Raw genomic sequence first — 22,781 nt, 5'->3', positions numbered from 1 at the left:
TCTCAAGAAAATTCCAAAATAAAAAGCAATGTTCATTTTCAGGAAATTCTATCACTAACTGCATTTAGTATGTAACAGAAAATCACAAAAAGGCAAAAAGTAATCTTTATGGTTTTTATGAGCATTAGAGGTATCTAGAAAATGTCACAGCAAGGTAAATAGTTTACATAAATATTGCTTTTCTTCACTTACAAGATGTAGGTGATTATTCCTACAGACCACATGTCCACCTCAGGTCCATAGGCACAACCTCTAAGAATTTCAGGTGCTGCAGAAAAAGTGAAAATTGTGTTAAATTAGAGCTTAGTCAATATTTATATTTTAATATCAAGCAATGGGAAAGAAATAAATTCATCAAAACAATTTCTGAACAGTTTTATAACCAATCTTCTCTCCCCAAACCACAGTATGAAGCTATAAATACTTATGTCTATTTTAGTAGGAGAGATTATAGTCTATCTGTTTTGGGATGCATAAAATAACACTATTAACTTTAATATTCTATGTCAGAATATCATGATACTGCTCAAATCAAGTAGATAGAGCTGTATGTATGCTACAAAAGACGCAATACTTCAAAGGGAGTTTTGTACATAGAAAACAAAGAAATGAAAGTTAAGCATAACAAGGGAGAAAAAAGTCACAAGCATGCTGCCTTGAGATCTAGACCTGCTGGGAGCAGGGTGTGTCAGCGAGTGTGTGGGTCTGACAGTGTGCAGGGTGGGAACCAGTGTAGGTGGTGAGGAGGGTTGACAAGTATCTAGTCTAGACGGTTGCAGCAGGAGCTAGGAGGTGTCCTGGCACATGTCCTGGCATTGAGAGATGCATGTAGGTCTCCAGAGAGCAGCTGATCCCAATCAGCTTGAGGTCATGAACTGAGAAAGGGGAACTTATCTGTGCACAGTGAAGCAGCTTGTATTAGTTCTGCCCGCTGTTGTGAAAAAGGAAGGCTTTCTCAGCCATAAAATAGCCCTGGTGTGGAGAATAGCAGTATCTTTTATATTTTTATTACCTTAGATTTGTGAAAATGGGTAATTAACTGGATCCAGGCACTTTCCCTGAGTACTAAGGGTGTTATTTGTTTGCCTAATTAACAACAGAAGAAAAGGGAAAGTAAGAGCCCCACCATCTATGGAGAAATAGAGCTCAGGCCTATTGTCCAGAGTGGCCTTTCTTGATTTTGAACACAAGTGCGGCAGGTGCCAGCAGCGTACTTGAAGAAGGAGCTTCTTGATTAATGCTGATGGCTGCTTGAGGAAGGCCTTGGGGATGAGGACACCATACCATTCTCTGGGATAGGGGTTGGAATGCAAGTAAACAGGATTCTCTGTCCATGCTGGCTGGAAATGTCACATTCAGTGTTGCCTATCAAGATGAGCTCTGGGGCTGGGCACAGTGGCTCACACCTGTAATCCTAGCACTTTGGGAGATCGAGGCAGGTGGATCACCTGAGGTCAGGAGTTTGAGTCCAGCCTGGCCAACATGGTGAAACCCTGTCTCTACTAAAAATACAAAAAAATTAGCCAGGCATGGTGGTAGGTGCCTGTAATCCCAGCTACTCGGGAGGCTGAGGCAGGAGAATAGCTTGAACCCAGGAGGTGGAGGTTGCAGAGATGGCGCCGCTGCACTCCAACCTGGGCAACAGAACAAGACTCTGTCTCAAAAAATAAATAAATAAATAAATAAATAAGTGAGCTCTGGAGGGAGGCTATCCTCATGGGACTGTGGATTTACCATACAGGAAGGAATACTGTGGGCATTCCACTGACCTCTTCCCTAACTATCCCTTAACTCTCATCATGTTCCAATTTCCCTGTAGAAGCTGGGTTACATAAAATATGAGGAGTCTTCAAAAGGTCATGGTAAATGCATATTATAAAAAATTATGCATGAATTTCACAATTTTTTGTACCAAAATAAACTTGTACTAACTTGTCATAACATGTCCAAACAGGATCTAGTCTGAGACACTAAAAAGGCTAAGACTTCAGTTTGAAAAGAGCCTCTATCTGAGAAACATGAATTCTGCTAAAATTGAAGCAAGAACAAACATCAAATTTATGGTAAAGCTTGGGTGGAAGAATGGCGAAATCACTGAGGCTTTATAAAAAGTTTGTGGGGACAATGTTCTAAAGAAATTAACAGTATACAAGTGGATAACTCATTTTAAGAAGGGATAAGACAATGTTGAAGACAAAGCCCACAGTGGCAGATCATCCACATCAATTTTTGAGAAAAAAATAAATCTTGCTCATGGCCTAATTGAAGAGGACTGGCAAGAGCAGAAACAATAGTCAACATCACAGACATCTGTGAGTTCTGCTGACACAATTCTGACTGAAAAATTAAAAGTTGAGCAAAGTTTTCACTCGATGGGTGACAACACTGTTGCATCCAGATCGATGCAGACAAAAATAGAGCTTTCAATGGAAATTTTAAACAAGTGGGATTGAAATCCTGAGCCTGATTCTTCAAACAATTGTTACAGGAGATAAAACATGGCTTCAACAGTATAATTCTGAAGACAAGGCACAATCAAAGCAATGGCTACCAAGAGGTGGAAGTGGTCCAGGCTAAGCAAAAGCAGATTGGTAAAGAGCAAGTGTCATGGCAATGGTTTTTTTGGATGCTCAAGGCATTTTGCCTGTTGACTTTCTGGAGGGCCAAAGAAAAATAACGTGTTTCATATGAGACTGTTTTGAGAGAGTTAGCCAAAGCTGTAGCAGAAAAATTCCCAGGAAACCTTCACCAGAGAATCCTTCTCCACCACAAAAATGCTCATGCTCATTCCTCTTATCAAACAAGGACAATTTGATGAGACTTTCAATAGGAAATCATTAGGCATCTACCTTACAGTAGTAACTTGGTTCCTTCTGACTTCTTTTTGTTTCTTTATCTTAAAATTTCTATAAGGAACACTTATTGTTTTTTCAGTTAATAATGTAAAAAAGACTGCATTGACATGGTTATCCCTCAGTTCTCTAGGGATAGACTAAATGGCTGCTGTTATCACTTACAAAAGTCTCTTGACCTTGATGCAGTTTATGTTGAGATATAAAGTTTATATTTTTCATCATTTTCACCATTTTTTGACAAACTTTTTGAAGTGCTCCCTATATGAGATAAAGAACCTGTATGGTGAAAGGAAGGTGTGCATTCTAGCACTCTACACAGCAATTCAGCAAGATGCACCCTTTAAGGAACTGTATCTGTAGCCAAAAAGCTTTTTTTAATCTACAGATGAATTATTCCTAGAAAACTTTTCTTTTAAGGTTTAATTAACAAAATTAAGAAACATGCATGGCTGATACGAACTACCATCATTCACTCTGTCAGGTTAGCTTTCATTCTCTGGGGCAATCTGTACCCCACAGAAAGTGTCTTTGAGCACAACAGCCCTGACAGTGAACTTTCCCTTGTAAAGGGGAACTCAGATTATGCTGCCATTGCAGGAAGGCTGCTATTGCCTATTTTTGTCTCTAGGAGATGTTCCAGTCAAGGAGCCGAATGCACACATATTGAGCATGCATATTCCACTTGCATTAGTCCTTCTCCATGCAGGTCTTCACATCAGTGAATCTTATTCAGTCTGAAATGCTATCAAGCCCCATACTGACATTTAAACATAAATATAGAAATATGTTGAGAGAGTCTTTTATATTTTCTGGATCTTGGTTTTTTACCTCTAAACTGTAAATGAATCCAAATAGCTGATTTCCAAGTTAACTTTGAGTTTTAACCTGCTACCCATTATATTATTAGTAAAGGATGTGTTACTGATCATTCAACAAGAAGAGAGGACAAGAACAAGCATTCTAACCTGCAGACCTGTTGCATTTCTCATTTCTTCTGCTACAACAGCTACTGTGTATGCTGCCCTATGGGGACTCATCCTGTTGGCTCTAGTGAAATCAACCCTCCCACCCCGTGCAGGCCAGAGACACATACTGGCAAGGGTCAGATGTTTTCTCTAGGCACTGCTAATAGCTCCCAGCCAAAGAACTCTAAGGAAAATGAATAGTGTGTCACAAACTGCTTTTTGGATCCACTATACAGGGAGTCTGAGTTTCATACCTGACATGGCAAGTTCTGATCTGTCGCAGCACTGGGTGTAACCTTACTCTCCAAAGGCAATTTATTTCTTTGTGAAGCACTGTACTGCAATGTGAGTAAACTTGCCATGTAAAAAGTTAAATGTCCCACAGTGAAGTTAACAGACAAAAGGAATAAAAAATGTTTATGCCATCCATAATAAATTCATCTTAAAAATAATTGTTTTTAAAATAACTTATTTTGAAAATCATAAAAAAATGGGGTGAAACAAAGTCAAAACACCTAGACACAATTAGATATTATTTTCAATAACTTTCAAATATATATATATATATATATATATATATATATATTTTTTTTTTTTTTTTTTTTTTTTTTTTTGAGATGGAGTTTCACTCTTGTTGCCCAGACTAGAGCCCAATGGCACGATCTCTGCTCACTGCAACCTCCGCCTCCTGGGTTCAAGCGCTTCTCGTGCCTCAGCCTCCTGAGTAGCTGGGATTACAGGTGCTTGCCACCATGCCCAGCTAATTTTTGTTGTTGTTGTTGGGACAGAATCTCGCTCTGTCACCCAGGCTGGAGTACAGCGGCACGATCTCAGCTCACTGCAACCTCTGCCTCCTGGGTTCAAGCGATTCTCTTGCCTCTGCCTCCTGAGTAGCTGTGATTACAGGCAGGTGCCACCACACCCAGCTAATTTTTGTATTTTTAATAGAGATGGGGTTTCACCATGTTGGTCAGGCTGGGCTCGAACTCCTGACGTTGTGATCCACCCGCCTCGGCCTCCCAAAGTGCTGGAATTACAGGCATGAGCCACAGTACCCAGCTTAATATTTTAAATTACTAGTTAATATGGCATTGACTTTGTTCAGAACCAGTAGAACACACTCTAGCAATCTAGACAGGCCTTTTCCAAGAGCCAGAAGAATTTTTACAATAAAGTTCAGGCTCTAGCACCCCAGCTTCAAGTCTCCTAAGTATCAAATGTCCTTGCAGGTAATTCTAATAATTTGTGATCTTCTTAGGGCAAGAAAGTTGGCTACTTTCAATTTAGTTCAAGAAAAAACATCAATTAATGTATCTTTTAATGGTATAAGCACTCTGGCTGTCCTTCATATCTTTTCTCACCTCATTATCAAAACAAACAAAATAGAAGAAAATCACTTTAAGGTATAAAACAGTTTTCTTGATATTTTTATTTTTATTCCAGTAGTTTTGGGAAAATAGGAGGTGTTTGGTCACATTGAAAATTTCTTTAGTGGGGATTTCTGAGATTTTGGTGTACCCATCACCTGAGCATTGTACACTGTACCCAATGTGTAGTTTTTTATCCCTCACCCCACTCCCACCCTTTCCCCTGAGTCTCCAAAGTCCATTTGTATCATTTGTATGCCTTTGCATTCAAATGCTTATCTCCCACTTATGAGGGAGAACATATGATGTTTGGTTTTCCATTCCTGAGTTACTTCACTTACAATAATGGTCTCTAACTCCATCCAGGTTGCTGCAAATGTCATTATTTCACTCCTTTTTATGGCTGAGTAGTATTCCATGGTGTGTGTGTGTGTGTGTGTGTGTGTGTGTGTGTGTGACAATTTCTTTACGAACTCACTGATTGATAGCCATTTGGGCAAGTTTCTTTTTCACATGACTTCTTTTCCTCTGAGTAGATATCCAGTAGTGGGATTGCTGGATCAAACGGTAGTTCTACTTTTAGTTATTTAAGGAATCTCCACACTGTTTTCCATAGTGGTTGTACTAGTTTACATTCCCATCAACAGTGTAAAAGTGTTCCCCTTTCACCACATCCACACCAACATGTATTATTTTTTGATTTTTTGATTATAGCCATTCTTGCAGGAGTAAGGTGGCATTGCATTGCGGTGTTGATTTGCAATTCCCTGATCATTAGTGATGTTAGGCATTTTTTTCATATGTTTGTTAGCCATTTGTATATCTTCTTTTGAGAATTGTCCATTCATGTCCTTAGTCCACTTTTTGATGGGATTGTTTGTTTTCCTCTTGCTGATCTGTATGAGTTCCTTGTAGATTCTGGATATTAGTCTTTTGTCAGATGTATAGATTGTGAAGATTTTCTCCCACTCTGTGGGTTGTCTGTTTACTCTGCTTTTTTTTTTTTTTTTTTTTTTTTGCTATGCAGAAGCTTTTTAGTTTAATTAAGTCCATCTATTTATCTTTGTAAAAACAAAGTTGCATTTGCTTTTGGGTTCTTGGTCATGAAGTCTTTGCCTAAGCTAATTTACAGGATGGTTTTTCTGATTTATCTTCTATAATTTTTATGGTGTTAGGTCTTAGATTTAAGTCCTTCTTCCATCTTGAGTTGATTTTTGTATAAGGTGAGGGATGAGGATCCAGTTTCATTCATATACATGTGGCTTGCCAATTATCCCATCACCATTTGTCGAATAGGGTATCCTTTCCCCGCTTTGTTTTTGTTTGCTTTGTCAAAGATCAGTGACTGCAAGTATTTCAATTTATTTCTGGGTTCTCTATTCTGTTCCATCGAGCTATGTGCCTATTTTTATACCAGTACCATGTTGTTTTGGTGACTAAGGCCTTACAGTATAAAGTCAGATAATGTGATGCCTCCAGATTTGTTCTTTTTGCTTAGTCTTGCTTTGGCTATGCAGGCTCTTTTGTGGTTCCATATGAATTTTAGAATAGTTTTTTTCTAACTCTGTGATAAATGATGGTGGTATTTTGATGGGAATTGTATTGAATTTGTAGATTGCTTTGACAATGTGGTCATTTTCACAATATTGATTCTACTCATCCATGAGCATGGGACATGTCCCATTTGTGTCATCTATAATTTCCTTCAGCAGTGTTTTATAGAATTCCTTGTAGAGAGGTCTTTCATGTCCTTGGCTAGGTTTGTTCCTAAGTATTTTAATTTTTTGCTGCTATTGTAAAAGGGGTTGGGTTCTTTATTTGATTCTCATCTTGTTTGCTGTTGGTGTATCGCAGAGCTACTGATTTGTGTACATTAATTTTGTATCCTGAAATTTTGCTGAATTCATTTATCAGATCTAGGAGCTTTTTGCAGGAGTCTTTAGGGTTTTGTAGGTATGCAATGATATCACCAGCAAACTGACAGTTTGACTTCCTCATTACCGATTTGGATACCTTTTATTTCTTTCTCTTGTCTGATTGCTCTGGCTAGGACTTCCAGTACTATGATGAATAGAAGTTGTGACAGTGGGCATCTTTGTCCTGCTCCAGTTCTCAGGGGGAATGCTTTCAACTTTTCCCCATTCGGTATTATGTTAGCTTTGGGTTTGTCATAGATGAGTCTTATTATGTAAAGGTACGACCCTTCTATGCTGATTTTGCTGATGGTTTTAATCATAAAGCATTGCTGGATTTTGTCAGATGCTTTTCCTGAGTCTATTGAGATGATCATGTGATTTTTGTTTTTAATTCTGTTTATGTGGTGTATCACATTTATTGACTTGCATATGTTAAACCATCCCTGCATCCCTGGTATGAAACCCACTTGATCATGGTGGATTATCTTTTTGATATGCTGTTGAATTAGGTTAGCTGGTATTTTGTTAAGGATGTTTTCTTCTATATTCATCAGGAATATTGATCTATAGTTTTCTTTTTGGTTATGTCCTTTCCTGGTTTTGATATTAGGGTGATACTGGCTTCATAGAATGATTTAGGGAGGATTCCCTCTTTATCTTTTGGAATAGTGTCAATAGGATTGGTCCCAATTCTTCTTTGAATGTTTGATAGAATTCAGCTGTGAATCCATCTGGTCTTGGACTTTTTTGTTGGCAATTTCTAAAATTACCATTTCAATCTTGCTGCTTCTTATTGGTCTGTTCAGAGTTTCTATTTCTTCCTGGTTTAATCTAAGAGGGTGGTATATTTCCAGGAATTTATGCATCTCCTCTAGGTTTCCTAGTTCATGCACATAAAGGTGTTCATAGTAGCCCTGAATGATCTTTTGCATTTCTGTGGTATTGGTTGTAGTATCTCCTGTTGTGTTTCCAATTGAGCTTATTTGGATCTTCTCTCTTCTTTTCTTGGTCTATCTTGCTAATGGTTATCTTTTTTAATTATTATTTTAAAGAACCAGCTTTTAGTTTCATTTATTTTTTGTAATTTTTTTGGTTTGTTTCCATTTCATTTAGCTCTGCTCTTATCTTAGTTATTTCTTTTCTTCTGCTTGGGTTGAGTTGGGTTTGTTCTTGTTTCTCTAGTTCCTTGGGGTTTGACCTTAGATTGTCTATTTGTGCTCTTTCAGACTTTTTGATGTAGGGATTTAAGGCTATGAATTTGCCTCCTAGCACTGCCTTAAGTGCAACCCGGAGTGATCCTTAGGCAACACCATCATTAGTAGGCCAGAGAGAAGAAAAGGAAGATTTATTATTTACAGAAATTCAAACAGTAGAGGAAACTCCACAGGGCAGAATTAGGAATTGTGAATGGATGTTGCAAGGCACAGATGTCTGGCTCAATATACGGGACAATATTCTAACAACTAAAGCTGTCAGCAATAGTAGGGGCTGTCTCCTTGGTTTGGGAGTGTTCACAAAGCCGATTGACTCATCACTCAGGATCCAAGGCTATCAGCAAAGAAAGAGAAGGAAGACTCCTGTTAAGTTTTTTATATCACCCATTAGATACATAGTGTGTGGTATTAAATAATATCACCAGAAAACTGTCTATGTATTCTATACATGTAAACTAAGTTGAGGATTATGGCAACCACTTACTTAAATCAAAGTTAACCAAATATATTTTGGCTTGAGATGGCTGATAAAATCAAATCTCAAGAGATTGTCCCCACTGTCCTCTCTTGACTTCTCGTGTTCTCTTTGAGTTTAGATACAGTCTTTTAATGTAACGGTAATCCTTAACTTCTGGGTCCCTAGACTATAAATCATTTTCGATGCCCACTTCCATAGAATACATGGCTCTTAAGATTATTTCCTCTGTCTTGACTTTAGATAACCTTATGACTCTGTGCCTGGGTGTTGATCTTTATGCAATAAATTTCCCAGGTATTCTTTGAGCTTCCTGTACTTGTATGTCTAGATCTCTAGCAAGGCCAGGGAAGTTTTCCTCAACTATTCCCACAAATATGTTTTCCACATTTTTAGATTTTTCTTCTTCCTTAGAAACATCCATTATTTTTAGGTTTGTTCATTTAACATAACCCCAAACCTCTTGGAGGCTTTTTTCATTTTTTTAAATTCTTTTTTTCGTCTTTACTGAATTGGGTTAATCCAAAAACTTTGTCTTCGAGCTCTGAAGCTCTTTCTTCTGCTTGTTCAGGTCTATCGCTGAGACTTTCCAGTGCATTTTGCATTTCTCTAAATGTGTCCGTCATTTCCAGAAGTTGTGATTGTTTTTTTATTTATGCTATTTCCCTGAAGATTTTTCCCTTCATATCTCATTTTTTTTATTTCATTTAATTGGACTTCACCTTTCTCTGGTGTCTCCTTGATTAGCTTAATGACCGACCTGCTGAATTTTTTTTCTGCCAATTCAGGGATTTCTTTTTGGTTTGGATCCATTGCCGGTAAGCTAGGGGGATCTTTTGAGAGTGTGAAAGAACCTTTTTTTGTCATATTACCAGAATTGTTTTTCTGGTTCCTTCTCATTTGGGTGGACTATGTCAGAGGGAAGATGTGGGGCTAAAAGGCTGCTATTCTGATTCTTTTGTCCCACACTATACTCCCTTGATGCTGTGCTCTCCCCCTTCCTCTAGGGATGTGGCTTCCCGAAAGGCAAACTGCAGTGCTTGTTATTAATCTTCTGGATCTAGCCACCCAGTGGAGCTGCTGGGGTCTGGGCTGGTAGTGGGGGGTGTCTACACAGAGTCTTGTGGTGTAAACCATCTTCAGGTCTCTCAGCCATGTATAGCAGCACCTGCTCCAGTGGAGGTGGCAGGAAAGTGAAATGGACTCTGTGAGGGTCCTTAGTTGTAGATTTGTTTATTGCAGTGTTTTGTGTTGGTTGGCCTCCTGCCAGGAGGTGGCACTTTCAAGAGAGCATCAGCTGTGGTAGTACAGGGAGGATCAGGTGGTAGGTAGAGCCTAGAGCTCCCAAGAGGTTATGTCCTTTGTCTTCAGAGTTTTTAGGTTGTCTCCTGGGGCCTGCAGGAACAATCTGCTTCCTATACACAGGGTCTGTGGATTCTCTCCCATTTGTATATCTTCTTTTGAGCATTGTCTATTCATGCCCTTTGCGCCCTTTTTTTTCTTGCTGATTTGTAAAACAGTTTTTAAAAATGCATTTTAAAAGACTTAGAATCATCATCTTTTCTGAATTAGTAAATAATCATTTATTGATTTTTCTGGCTGTGTTCCAAGTGAATCCAATCTGTCTACCACTTCCTAAAATTATCTTACCATTCATGTTATTGCTCATAAAACACTAAATGATACCAAGCTCCCACAAAACCTCATACTCCAATCTTCAATGCAGAATAAGTTTGGTAAACGGTCTTAGAATTCTCAAGATGCCAGACTTCCTTTTTAAAACAGAAAGTTTAACTAAATATAAAAATTACACAAAAATTCAAACCTTATATTATATATTCATTAACATACCATCTAGGTCTAAGTGTGACTCTTTTTAAAAATAAGATGATGGCACCATTGAAACATTTAGAGACTGAGTATCCCTCTAGAGATTGGGATGAATTTCACTTTATCAAATAAAATCATTGTAACTAGTTTTGGAAATGATCCTAAAATAAAAAGCATCAGATATGGCCTAGGGCTCACTTACAGGGACCACTGGTGCTAAATTTGCCTTCTTTTCTTAAATTCCTAGAAGAAAAATTAAAAGGGACGATTTTGGTCATTGACTGTACTTTCATTTTGTCAATGCCCTAGTTGAGTTTTATGATTCTTTCTTACTTACTGAGTTAAAACTACAGAGTGGCATTCTTCATCAGAAGAGCTTTCACACTATTAGTAACTCTTTTGGAAAAAATTTGAGGGAGACTAAGGTGAATGAAATCAACAGGTTCATTCACTCACTCATTAAAGAAATCATCAAATATTTATTAAGCACCTGCTGTGTGATGGGCCAACTATACTTGGAGGTGCTAGGGGAATAATGAGCAGGTTAAAGAGAACAAGTCTTTTTCATCTAGGAGCTTACAGCTGGGTGGGGGATGTAGACATAAATCAAAAACATCAAAGGAAGAAATGCAAAGTGATAACTGGAAATGCTTGGAGGAAGAATATTTTTAGTACGGGGTTGGCCTGGTCACAGAGGTCAGCGAATGTGACTGGTGCAAAGAAAGTTTGAACTGAGATGTAGAGGATCTAGAGAAGTTAATTAGGCAAATGGGGAAGAGGTTGAAGGAAAAGAGAATAGACTTGCAAGTGGAAAAAGTTATGCAAAGACCCTGTGGCAGGAAGAAGCAAGGGGCACTGGAGGAACTGAAAGAAGCCAACATGGCTGGAGCATGGCTCAAGTATCCAGCCATGCCTAGGTGGGATGAGCAGTGCCTGTGAGGCAGGTAGAGGCCAGACTGAAGATCCAGTAGGTCAGGGGTCTTGTTTGTTTCAAAATTCTTTCCACTCTTTCTGTTTTAGCAATTCAAAACATATGGGAAAAGATCTATTTGCATCTAAAAGCCTGAACCTGACTTTCCAGAATTATTGTCCCTATTAGAGCTAGGGGCAAATGCTGGGATTTTTTTTTTTTTTTTTTTTTTTACTATAGAGGCTTGTTTTGAATTCAGTGTTTTCTGCGAGCCACAAAAATCCACTGTATCTTGAGCCCAGCATCTAGAGTCTCTCTAAACTGTGCCTCTGGGAAGGAGGAGGGAGGAGGGAGAAGAGTGAAGGGTGGAGGGGATTTATCTAGGGAGGCTGAAAAGCAGTGTTAGGAAATTCTCTGCCTCTATCCTTTTCCTAGCTTGGCCTAGGAACCCAGAGGAGAAGAATGCACTTGAGGCAGCTGCCTATGGGCGGCAGCAGTGCCCACAGTTGGGCAGACTCCACACTGGGTGATTTTCTCAGCATCTGTACTTTGTGCGGTCCTTTGTTTAGCTGTCATCTACATTTGCTAAGAAAGGAGCACAACCTGTTTAAAACTTGGTGCAATTTTTGATTTGATAAAAAGATAATGCCCCAGTTCAGGAGATTAAGTGCAGTGACAAAGGTGCAGATGAGACTGAATCACACCTGAGACTTCCAGAGGGGGTTGCCTCTGGCTAGAAGCTGCCTTGTCAGCTTACTACAGTGAATCTCAGAATATTCTCAATTCTATGCGTGCCATGCTCTGAAAGGTTGAGAAGGACTGAGAACGTATTTGGGGCTTTTGTCATTTTAGTTTTCTGTGACTTGAGTGGAGTGAGAAAAGAAAAAGTTAGGTGTTTTGAAACACAAGTGATATACTTTATGTTCTAACTCACTCTTTCCTTCCTCCAGGGCTCTTGATTTTTTGCACTGCAATTATCAGTCAATCCAACTCCCACTTCATGTTTTTCATTTAAGCTGTTAAAAAAGTCTTCCTTACCGCAAGAATTATATGATTTTCTCTTTGTATAAATCTAATAAATGAGTGAAAATAGTCTGTTTATTTCCCTCATCTTATTTTTTATTTTTAAATAATATCCTGAAGAGAAAATCAAATATTTGAGAATACCTAGTGCTTTCAAAAAAGGAAAAAAAAATACAACTTATTTTTATTGCCCTGTGAAATTTGCTTTTCTGTGAAATTCCATTGAGCCTTCCTATCTTGAAGTCATTGCCATTTTCTCCAACTCTGAATCAGACTGAGTCTCCAGGTCACTTCAGAGTTGTGATGGATGCCAGCAAAGTGGTATTAACTGTTGAAAAGCTACCTTTCAATTTTCGTGGGATGAAGTAGGATAAAATAAATAAACCTATCTCATCCTAATATTAAAATTACATAAAAATATCTTCAGTAGATGGAGGTGCAAAGATAAAGTAATGGACTTAGAATTTAAAGTGTCTCGTGTTAAGTGTGAAAAATATTACAAGGTGGGTGGATTGTCTGAGCTCAGGAGTTCAAGACCAGCCTGGGCAACACGGTGAAACCCCGTCTCTACTAAAATACAAAAAATTAGCCCGGTGTGGCAGTGTGCGCTTGTGGTCCCAGCTACTCAGGAGGCTGAGGCAGGAGAATTGCTTGAACCTGGGAGGTGGAGGTTGCAGTGAGCCAAGATCGATTGCACCACTGCACTCCAGCATGGGGGAATGAGTGAGACTCTGCCTCAAAAAAAAAAAAAAGAAAAAGAAAAGAAAAGAAAAGAAAAACATTATGTTTTTCTCTAACGGAGATATAAACCTTCTCACTGATGATAATCAATAATAATTCTTGCAAAACTTTTTATTTTTATTTTATGCATATCCTTTCTGTAATAACATTTTAAAGTGGAACATTTTGTGGGTGTTCTGGTCCAAAATAAGACATTTTAAGCAAATCTTCTACCCACTTGCTATCAATCACCTCTTCCTTTTGACCTCTTTTCCTCCCATCATCCCACCCCCACATATATAATAATAGAGTTGAATCCTCACAGAACTGTGAATTCTCTGGCACAGTTGGTTCTGTTCTCGAAGTAGTGTCTTCTGAAGTGGGCATCAAAAATGATTTATGGTCTGGAGACCCAGAAGTTAAGGATTACCATTACATTAAAAGACTGTCTCGGGCACCTGTAGTCCCAGCTACTTGGGAGGCTGAGGCAGGAGAATGGCGTGAACCCGAGAGGCGGAGCTTGCAGTGATGCAGTGAGCGGAGATCAAGCCACTGCACTCCAGCCTGGGTGACACAGCGAGGCTCCGTCTCAAAAAAAAAAAAAAAAAAAAAAAAAAGACTGTCTCTAAACTCAAAGAGAACATGAGAAGTCAGGAGAGGACACTGGGGACAATCTCTTGAGATTCGATTTTATCAACCATCTCAATCCAAAATATATTTGGTTAACTTTGATTTAAGTAAGTGGTTGCCAAAATCCTCAACTTAGTTTACATGTATAGAGTATATAGGCAGTTTTTGGTGATATTATTTATTACCACACACTATGTACCTAATGGGTGATATAAAACTTAACAGGAGTCTTCCTTCTCTTTCCTTGCTGATAGCCTTGGATCCTGAGTGATGAGTCAATCAGCTTTTGTGAACACTCCCAAACCAAGGAGATAGCCCTTACTATTGCCGACAGCTTTAGTTGTTAGAATGTTGTCTTGTATATTGAGCCAGAAATCTGTGCCTTGCAACATCCATCACAATTCCTACTTCTGCCTTGTGGAGCTTCCTCTACTATTTGAATTTCTGTAAATAATAAATGTTCCTTCTCTTCTCTCTGGCCTACTAATGATGGTGTTGCTGAAGCATTAGTCTGGGTTGTCTCCTTTTCTGCCTTGGGGATGCCTGATAGTCTCATGACTTGAAATACCGTCTATATGCTGGTAACACCCACATTGATACCAGTAGCCAAGTTGACATGTGGACCATATATTCCCTTCTGCCCACATGTCACTTCCACTTGGATATCTAACAGACATGTAGAAATTAACAAGTCCCAAGCCTGATGCTCCGATGTCTTCCCATCTCAGGAAATGTTAACTCCATTCCCTCAGTTGTTAGTTATCCCCTCTCCTATCTACTATTTTCTGCCCTTGTCACTGCATTCCAATCAACCAACTAACCTTCTTGGTGGACTTTAAAGACACCTGGTGTGTTCTTGCCTCAGGATTAGTGTGCCCCATCCCCTTCACCTAGAACATTCTTTCACTAGGTATGTATGTGGTTTGCTCTCTCCTCTCTCAAATTTTTGCTTATATATTCCATTCTAACACAAAGCCTTCCTTAATTACCTTGTTTAAACTGTAACCCAGGCTCCTTTTCCAACTTTATATTATAATTTCTATGGGAAATTATCACCTCTTTCTGTATATTTTACATGTGTATTGTTGTTTCTCCCACTAAAATGTATTACAGTATACTTAAGGAAGAGTTCTTTTGGTCTGGTTTTTACTGCTATGTCTTTACAACATACAACAGTGCCTAGTGCATAGAAGCACAACAAATATTTAATAAATGACAAAAAACCTGATTGTTTTACACAACTAAAGTTCCAGAGAAACCGCTTTGTTCAGGGCAGTACGAAACCAATATAAAGACTCCAAAGACGCAGTTTTCTTCAGATTTCAAACTTCTAACACAGCTTAAACTAAGCTCATGCCCAACCTGCAGAGTCCCTTTCCTCTCCATGATCAAGAACAAGATGAGCTCTGGATGACCCTTCCTCGCCACCCTGTATCTGTCCCTACTTTTCCTTTACCTGGCACTACTCAACTGACTCAGATGCTGCAAGCATGCCTGTGGCAGTTATATGACGGCTTGGGGACACAATCTCCTTAGGGAGAAAGTAGGGCTATGGTCAGGAGGGGAGATGGATATGGGGTACCCTCCACACCTGGTTAGCATTCTCTGCCTCACTTCCTCTCCCCTTCCCTGATGGTCGTTTTCCCATTGTCCAAAAGCCACACAGGAACCCTAGTGTGCAGCACACGAGCCGGTCAAGTAGAAAGTTACAGTCAGTGCAACTGGAATTTTACCATGCATTTAATTAACTAGATTTTTTAAAAGTTCATTGTAAAAATGAAGTTGCCACTTTGGGTATTTAATTCATTCTTGGGTGAGATCGTCCTTTACTTGATTGGATTGCAGTATAATTTAAGACTCTTATTATTTCACTTAAGCTATTTATTCTTCTGGAAATGAACACAAACACTATGCCTTTTGTGAAACTATACTAAAAGTTTCTATTTTAGATTATGAGATGTATTTCTTTTATTTAAATTTTCCTACATTTTTCATATGTGTTCATGTTAGAGAAAATGTAGCTTATTGGCTAACCCAACTTTCTGTTTTGTTAAGAGTTAAGCAGAGATCTCTTCTGTTCAACTATAAGCTGTTGAAAATTTGTCTTAAATTTTGGCATAGTGAATCTAATGGGTTATTTCTTTTCAAAGTAGCAATGTGGCAAGTGTGTGGAATCATCCTTGAAATCATGAATGGGCACTAATGGAAGACAAGACTTGCTTAATTGTGCTGTGTCATCTTAGAAACTGTTCTGTTAATAGCATTTTAAGAAATACTTTCAATGGTAATATTCATAGGACATGTTCAAATGTAAGGTCTGCTTGATATGTTCCAATAAGCTCCCTAGAAATTATTCCTATTTAAAAGCTTTTTAGTTCCTGGATTCTTGAAAATGGCTCTGCATAATGTGTGTGTGTGAGGAAGAGAAGATTATTGTTTATTTTTAATAAAGTACTCTTAAATTTATCCTTTTAACCTATTAAAATATTAAGTTAAAATATCCTTCATTTTTTCTGTGGTTGTAAAAATTTCAGAAACTCATAGTCCCATAGCTATCCAAAGAAACTTGAATTCCCCTGATAAAGGCTGTCAGAGCACAGTGTCATCTCTGAGCAGCTCATTGACCTCCATAAATAAATACAATGCAGTGAACTCCCAGCACAAAAGTGGCACTGACAGATCAGATGCTGGAACTGACTCAGTGAACTTCAGCATATCTCCTGTTTCATTCAGTGTCTGATCACTGAGGAGACTTTGTCTTCCTGTAGTCATCAAAACTAAGGAACAAATCCCATCTTTTGTCCAATCATTTCCAATTTTGGAATAATAATTTTAAGTAGGTATATATTAAGTTACACAGAAGGATACATTTTTCAGTGTAACTTCATACTTACCCAGTAGGAAGTGTCATATTTACCTAGTAAAAATACCAAAATTTCTAAAACTACTATTTGGAAAACCAGTAGTCTTTAAAAAGATTCCATTTCTTTTCTCTACCTTTTTTTTAATGGTTTACCCTATTAAAACCACTCTCCATTCTCAGGAACTATCACATTCATATTTAGTAAGTTTAAAAATCTAAAAAACTATTTAAAAATGGCCATAAACAATAAAGTTTAGAACCATCAATGTCATTTAAATCTTAGGGGGAAATTTTTATTTTTATTTTTATTTTTATTTTTTGAGATGGAGTCTCGCTCTGTCGCCGAGGCTGGAGTGCAGTGGCGCTATCTCGGCTCACTGCAAGCCCCGCCTCCTGGGTTCACGCCATTCTCCTGCCTCAGCCTCCCGAGTAGCTGGGACTACAGGTGCTCGCCATCATGCCCGGCTAATTTTTTGTATTTTTAGAAGAGACGGGGTTAGCCAGGAGGGTCTCGATCTCCTGACCTCATGATCCACCCGCCTCGGCCTCCCAAAGTGCTGGGATTACAGTCGTGAGCCACCGCGCCCGGCCGAGAAATTTTTTTTTAATGAGTGTTTTTATTTCTAAACTAAAGAACTGTGGCAGAGATGTAGTAATTTCAAAGACCTCAAACCAACTCCCCGAATATTAGGACTTACTCTTGTGAGGACAAAATGGAAAAATCATACTGCATAATAAAAGGAATTGATACATTTTTAACAGTAATAAGAAAAGATGAGGATGATGATATTCATTATAATGACTTTAGTAATGCCTAACATTCATTACATGTTTTAGTTACCAGGTACTGTGCAAGAACTTCACATACATTATCTTATTTATTCTTTATAATAGCCCTGTGAAATAAGTGTTCTTATTATTCCCATTGTATAGTTGAGGAGACTGAGATTTAGAGGGTTTCACTAACATATTCAAGGTCAAGCCTGAAGTAGGAACAGCCATCTGACTTCCAAGCCTAGTAAAGCATGAAAACATGAACAACAACAATACCACAACAGCAACAACAACCAGCAATCTATGCCTGTGAGCATCAGGTAAACAGGGCCAAATATGGCCAGCCCATCCCTGTAGTCACCCATATATCTGTGGAGACCTACCACGCCTTAGGGTAGATGAGCAATATATGTGTGGTTTTAATACTGAACATCAGGTTGGTGACACTGACTTTTGTTAGCCCATCACTATTTGCTGATCCTTTGGGAGGTATCATTCAAGGATAGTTTTAAGAGCTGGAAGGTGAGGGACTCTCTCTTTTACCTGTCATTCTACACTTTCATCATGCCTTCACATTCAATAGCTGAAGTGCCACATTTAATCATCTCTTTATTATACCACCTCCATTTATAATTATTGATAATTATGACAGAATTAATTGGTTACCAAGCAATGAGAGTTTTTAAGACTGAATCAGTCATAGTATATATGAAATATATGTATTCCTTCTTTATGGAAACTCAGAATATTATTGTAGAATATTATTATTCTACAATATTATTTGTAGAATTAGGCACCTGCAGACTCTAAGTACAGGGATTTCTGCATATCGTAGGAACTCATTCTTCAATTGTTAATAATTAGCCTTCATTTTGGCTTAAATAGAAGCACAATATATATTTGCCATTACTAAAGCCTGAAAATAGCAAAACACTGTTATGCTTAGAGGCTTAGCACATGGGACATTTTTATGTATTAATACTTCCTCTGAGTTATGCCAGTAGGACTGTCTCAGAACTAATGAGACCTTGGCAAATGCCAAAAGAAAACAAACTCCTAACAGCTTGTAGACTCTGAAAATAGAATTTGAATAAAGACAAGTACAAATATGAAATATGAACATACTTAAGCTTATGAATAAATTAGATAATTCGTATTAGATATAATTTTTTTTTACCTAAGCCCTTAACATAGTGGTTTCTTTTCTACTCTAACAACTTGATTTTCTTTTCTAGGATTGGCGTGGGTGGGTTTGAAACATCCACAAACTTCAAGCCTTAAATATCTAGACCAGTTAAAACATTTTGGCAGTTAATATTGTATAGTTATATTGTAGCACATTTATTAGGAGCTATGGCCTGATCGATTTTTTCTTTTTTTTTTTTTTTTGTCTGTGTGACCTACTTATTTTCTCATCCACAAGATGTTGAGAATCCCTTCAACACTGAACTCTTCATGGGTTATTTTTGAACACTAATCATTGATTTCACTTATCTGGACCATAAATTTTAATTTTCTGGCCTGGAGTTTGGTTTTGACTGGGCACATTTCCAAGGAAATAATGAGTATTTGCTTAAACATGAAGCATCTGTGATTTTTCTTTTGCGATTCACTTATAGGAGAGCCCTGTTTATTAATAGCCTGGGGCAAGGGTTCTATGAAAGAGACAGAATGGATGGCTTTTCCTTTTTTACTTCCTGAGAAATGACAGATGGTATAACATAAACACCCAGTCTCTCACAAGATGTAATTTGAAAAGCCTTCCATTAAAAGTAGAAACTAGACACAGTGCACTTAAGGATAATCGACCTTGGATATAATCATCCTAACAAGCAACGAAACAAGCTCGCATCTCATCTCTGTCAATTATATGGGTGTCAGACACTTTTTCAAGTTCAAAGTAAAGTCTCTGTATTGTAAATATTTTAAATTTTTCTTTATATATATTATGATGTTTTTGACATCTTAAAAAGCTTTTCTGGTTGCAGAGAGCCTGTCTCTCCTGTGGCTTGTTAATTCTGAAAGATAAGAAAGCGTCCAGCCTGGAGCATGCCTTTCACATACCGATTAACCAGTCCAGTGCCATACCTCATCCATCTGACCTACACACCCCAGGAGGGGATATTCCTCTGCCTTAGTCATCCCAGGGCCAAGAGCCAGGAGCCAGGCAACCCACACAAATTATTCAAACTAGGCAATCCTAAACTGTTCACCCTGCCTTGCCTTGCCTTTCCCAAGAAAATACCCCAAAAGGCAGTAGTCTAAACTTTCCCTTTCTCCTGTCTTCTGCCTCCTGACCACCCTGGTGTCTTCTTTCCTGCGTGGCCCTGGGTGGCTTGCTGTGCCTCCTGTCTCTAGGATATGTAAGTTTAATACACTTTTCTTTTTTTTTCCTGAGGCTCTCCTCTGTCTCCTCTTGTGGCCATAAAAGAATATAAAACAGTCTCTGCGTAAATTCTTTGCTTTCTATAGAATCATAATGATTCTCACCAGTCTTGAGCTTGGCTCTCATTTCCAACTCCTTCTATAAATGGACAGTTTCCTCCCCACCAACTTATTCTCAGAAAGATACATGCCAGACTGATGAGAGTATCTATCTGTGGTGAGGGAAGAAAGGGCTAGAACTGATCTTCAGAGAGGGTTTTAGCTTTACCTGTTAACAATTTAATTTTTTATAAGATAGATGAAACAAATATTCATAACTAGATTAAAATTTGTATTTAATTCAAAACCCTAGATATTGCCTCTGCTCTAGGTTATCTACTCCTGGGCCCTAGTATTACTGTGACTTCTGTTTTTCCCAAGTGTTTTCCAATGTTTCCTATGTTACCACACACAGGTGTATCCTTAAAATCCTACCCCCTCTTTGGCTCCCATTGTGAGGTAATATTTTAGTGTATTTCCTTTGGGTCAAGAGTATGTATGAACACATATGTATTTACTTACATAGAAATGGAACCTTTGTCTGCTAAAGAAATATGTTAAACTTACTTGTTTTTGACTTCCAAGACTGCCCCCGCCTATATAATAGTAATTACATTTCTATGTTTAGCACTTTAGAGCCAAAAAAACACTTTTATTTTCCATCTCAATCCCCAAAATAGTTCACTAAGGTAAGTAGAGTCTACCTTCCAACCCCCATGCCAAGCTTCCTTGCTGCTTTCACTTCCTTTTCTTATAATATGGCAAACTACTTTTTCCTGATAAGCCACTACCTATAGTAGAATTATCCTGGTCACTTTCAACCTCTTATTTCTGTTTCCTCATTATTTACCATCTAGGCTGAAACGGATATTTGCAAGAGAAAATAATAATAGAAAATAAGCCTCCATTATAAGATGGCATTATTTGTATGAAGGGCCTGTTTATGGAAAGGACAATATATTAAAACAGTATTTTTACAATTTTTAAATATTTTAAAAAAGTAGATAGATTTAAGAATAGATTGAACATGTCATCTGCTGAGAAGCTAAGGAAGGACATGAGCATGTGTGTAGATTTCTGACATGAGAGTGGTAGAAAAGAGCATTTACAATAGCTAATTTGTCTGTTTTCTTTCTATCCCTTTCCCCCTTAAATTCATGTCATAATATGTCATAATGTTATCATCAAGATATTTACAAAATACAGACCTGATTTAAAAATATTGCCTTGATTAAAAACCTTTGCTGGATCACCATTACCTACCAAGTCAAATCTGAATCCCTTAGCCTGATGTATAGATTCTTTAAACACATGGTCCATCCGACCTTTCTAAGTCCATTTGTGCCCTCTGTACCAAAAACTCTATGTTCTAGTCATACAAAGTTGACAAAGTGACAAACAGCACCTAAACTCACCAGATGCTGCCAATCCTCCATGACTTTGCTCTCCCTGTACCCACTGACAAAGAATGCCCTGTGGCCACTTCTTCACTTGTTGAACTCTTACTCATCCTTCATGTCTACCTAAAATGTTCCTTCTAAGAACTCTCCATCCAGAATTAATACTAACTCATTAAAACAATATTATAAAATGCTTAGATGGACAAGGAGACATAGAAGAGTACAAGAGAATGCACAGGAGGCTGTTAATATTGAGTATAGTTATTTGGATTTTTATTTCTGCCAATGACCAAGGAATACTTTTTCTTTTCCCTGAGACCAGGTTTCCTTTTATTGCCCAGGCTGGAATGCAGTAGTAAAATCATAGCTCACTGCAGCCTCTAACTCCTGGGCTCAAACAATCCTCCTGCCTCAGCCTCCTGAGTAACTAGGACAACAGGTACATGCCAACATGCCCAGCTAATTATTTTGTTGTTGTTTTTTTTTTCACCATGTTGGCCAGGCTCGTCTTGAATTCTGACCCTCAAGCAATCCTCTCATTTCAGCCTCCCGAAGTGCTGAGATTATAGGCATGAGCCACTGCACCTGGCCAAGTAATACTTTTGAGGTATAAAAAATTAAAATGAGCTGGACATGGTGGCTCATGCCTGTAATCCCAGCACTTTGGGAGGCCGAGGCTGGAGGATCACTTCAGGCCTGGAGTTCGAGACCAGCCTGGCCAACATAGCGAAACCCCATCTGTACTAAAAATACAACAAATTAGCTGGGTGTGGTGGAATCCCAGCTACTTGGGAGGCTGAGGAATGAGAATCAATTGAACCCGGGAGGCAAAGGTTACTATAAGCCGAGATCTGTCTCAAAAAATATATATATATTAAAATGAAGATTTTAAAATAAAAGCAATAATTGATAAATACTTCTATGAATAAAACTATATTGATTTATAGTTTTATAAATATATAAATTTCCCTATAGTACAGGGAAATTCTATGATTTTTAGGCCCTTGGATACCTGGATTCTTATTCCTGAGCCACTAACAACTAGATGTGGAATCTTGGTGAAGTCAAAGTCTCTGAACTTAATAAGATTAGAATGTTAATAAATGAACTTTAAAGTTCCTTCCAGCACTAAAATTCTATGGATTTAATCACATATATGCTTCAATGAATATATTATCGCACTTCGCCTATCTGATTTTTATGATTTCAAAAGTTGTTAAAAGGAGTTAGTTTTGTAGTACTTCTTTGTCTATTTCTGGGGCAGGGGTGACCTCAAATATAAGCGCTATAGAAAACAAGACAGATAATTCAAAATATCACCCTTCTTCTATGTTTCCATGGTGGCTTTCGATACATACAACACAATATTTCTTAAGACGCTATAATTTCTTGGTTTGCATTTCTGGATTTTTCCT

At 38.1% G+C, this 22,781-nt stretch overlaps 1 protein-coding gene across 7 annotated transcripts in view; it reads right to left on the bottom strand.

The window, feature by feature from the left end:
- CAMK4 (calcium/calmodulin dependent protein kinase IV) overlaps positions 1–22,781 on the bottom strand; it is a 271,304-nt gene that overhangs the window by 21,308 nt on the left and 227,215 nt on the right. For all 7 annotated transcript variants that reach the window (XR_948303.3, NM_001323375.2, NM_001323374.2 and 4 more), the window contains one exon: positions 193–268. Coding sequence is in view for 6 of the 7 variants with exons in the window: in NM_001323375.2 (NP_001310304.1) it covers positions 193–268 (76 nt within the window). In the remaining variant the exon portion in view is untranslated. The remainder of the gene's footprint in view (positions 1–192; positions 269–22,781) is intronic.

The sequence above is a fragment of the Homo sapiens genome, chromosome 5 (assembly GCF_000001405.40).
Source record: "Homo sapiens chromosome 5, GRCh38.p14 Primary Assembly".
Taxonomy (NCBI): domain Eukaryota; kingdom Metazoa; phylum Chordata; class Mammalia; order Primates; family Hominidae; genus Homo; species Homo sapiens.
This window is presented reverse-complemented; position numbering and strand designations above follow the sequence as displayed.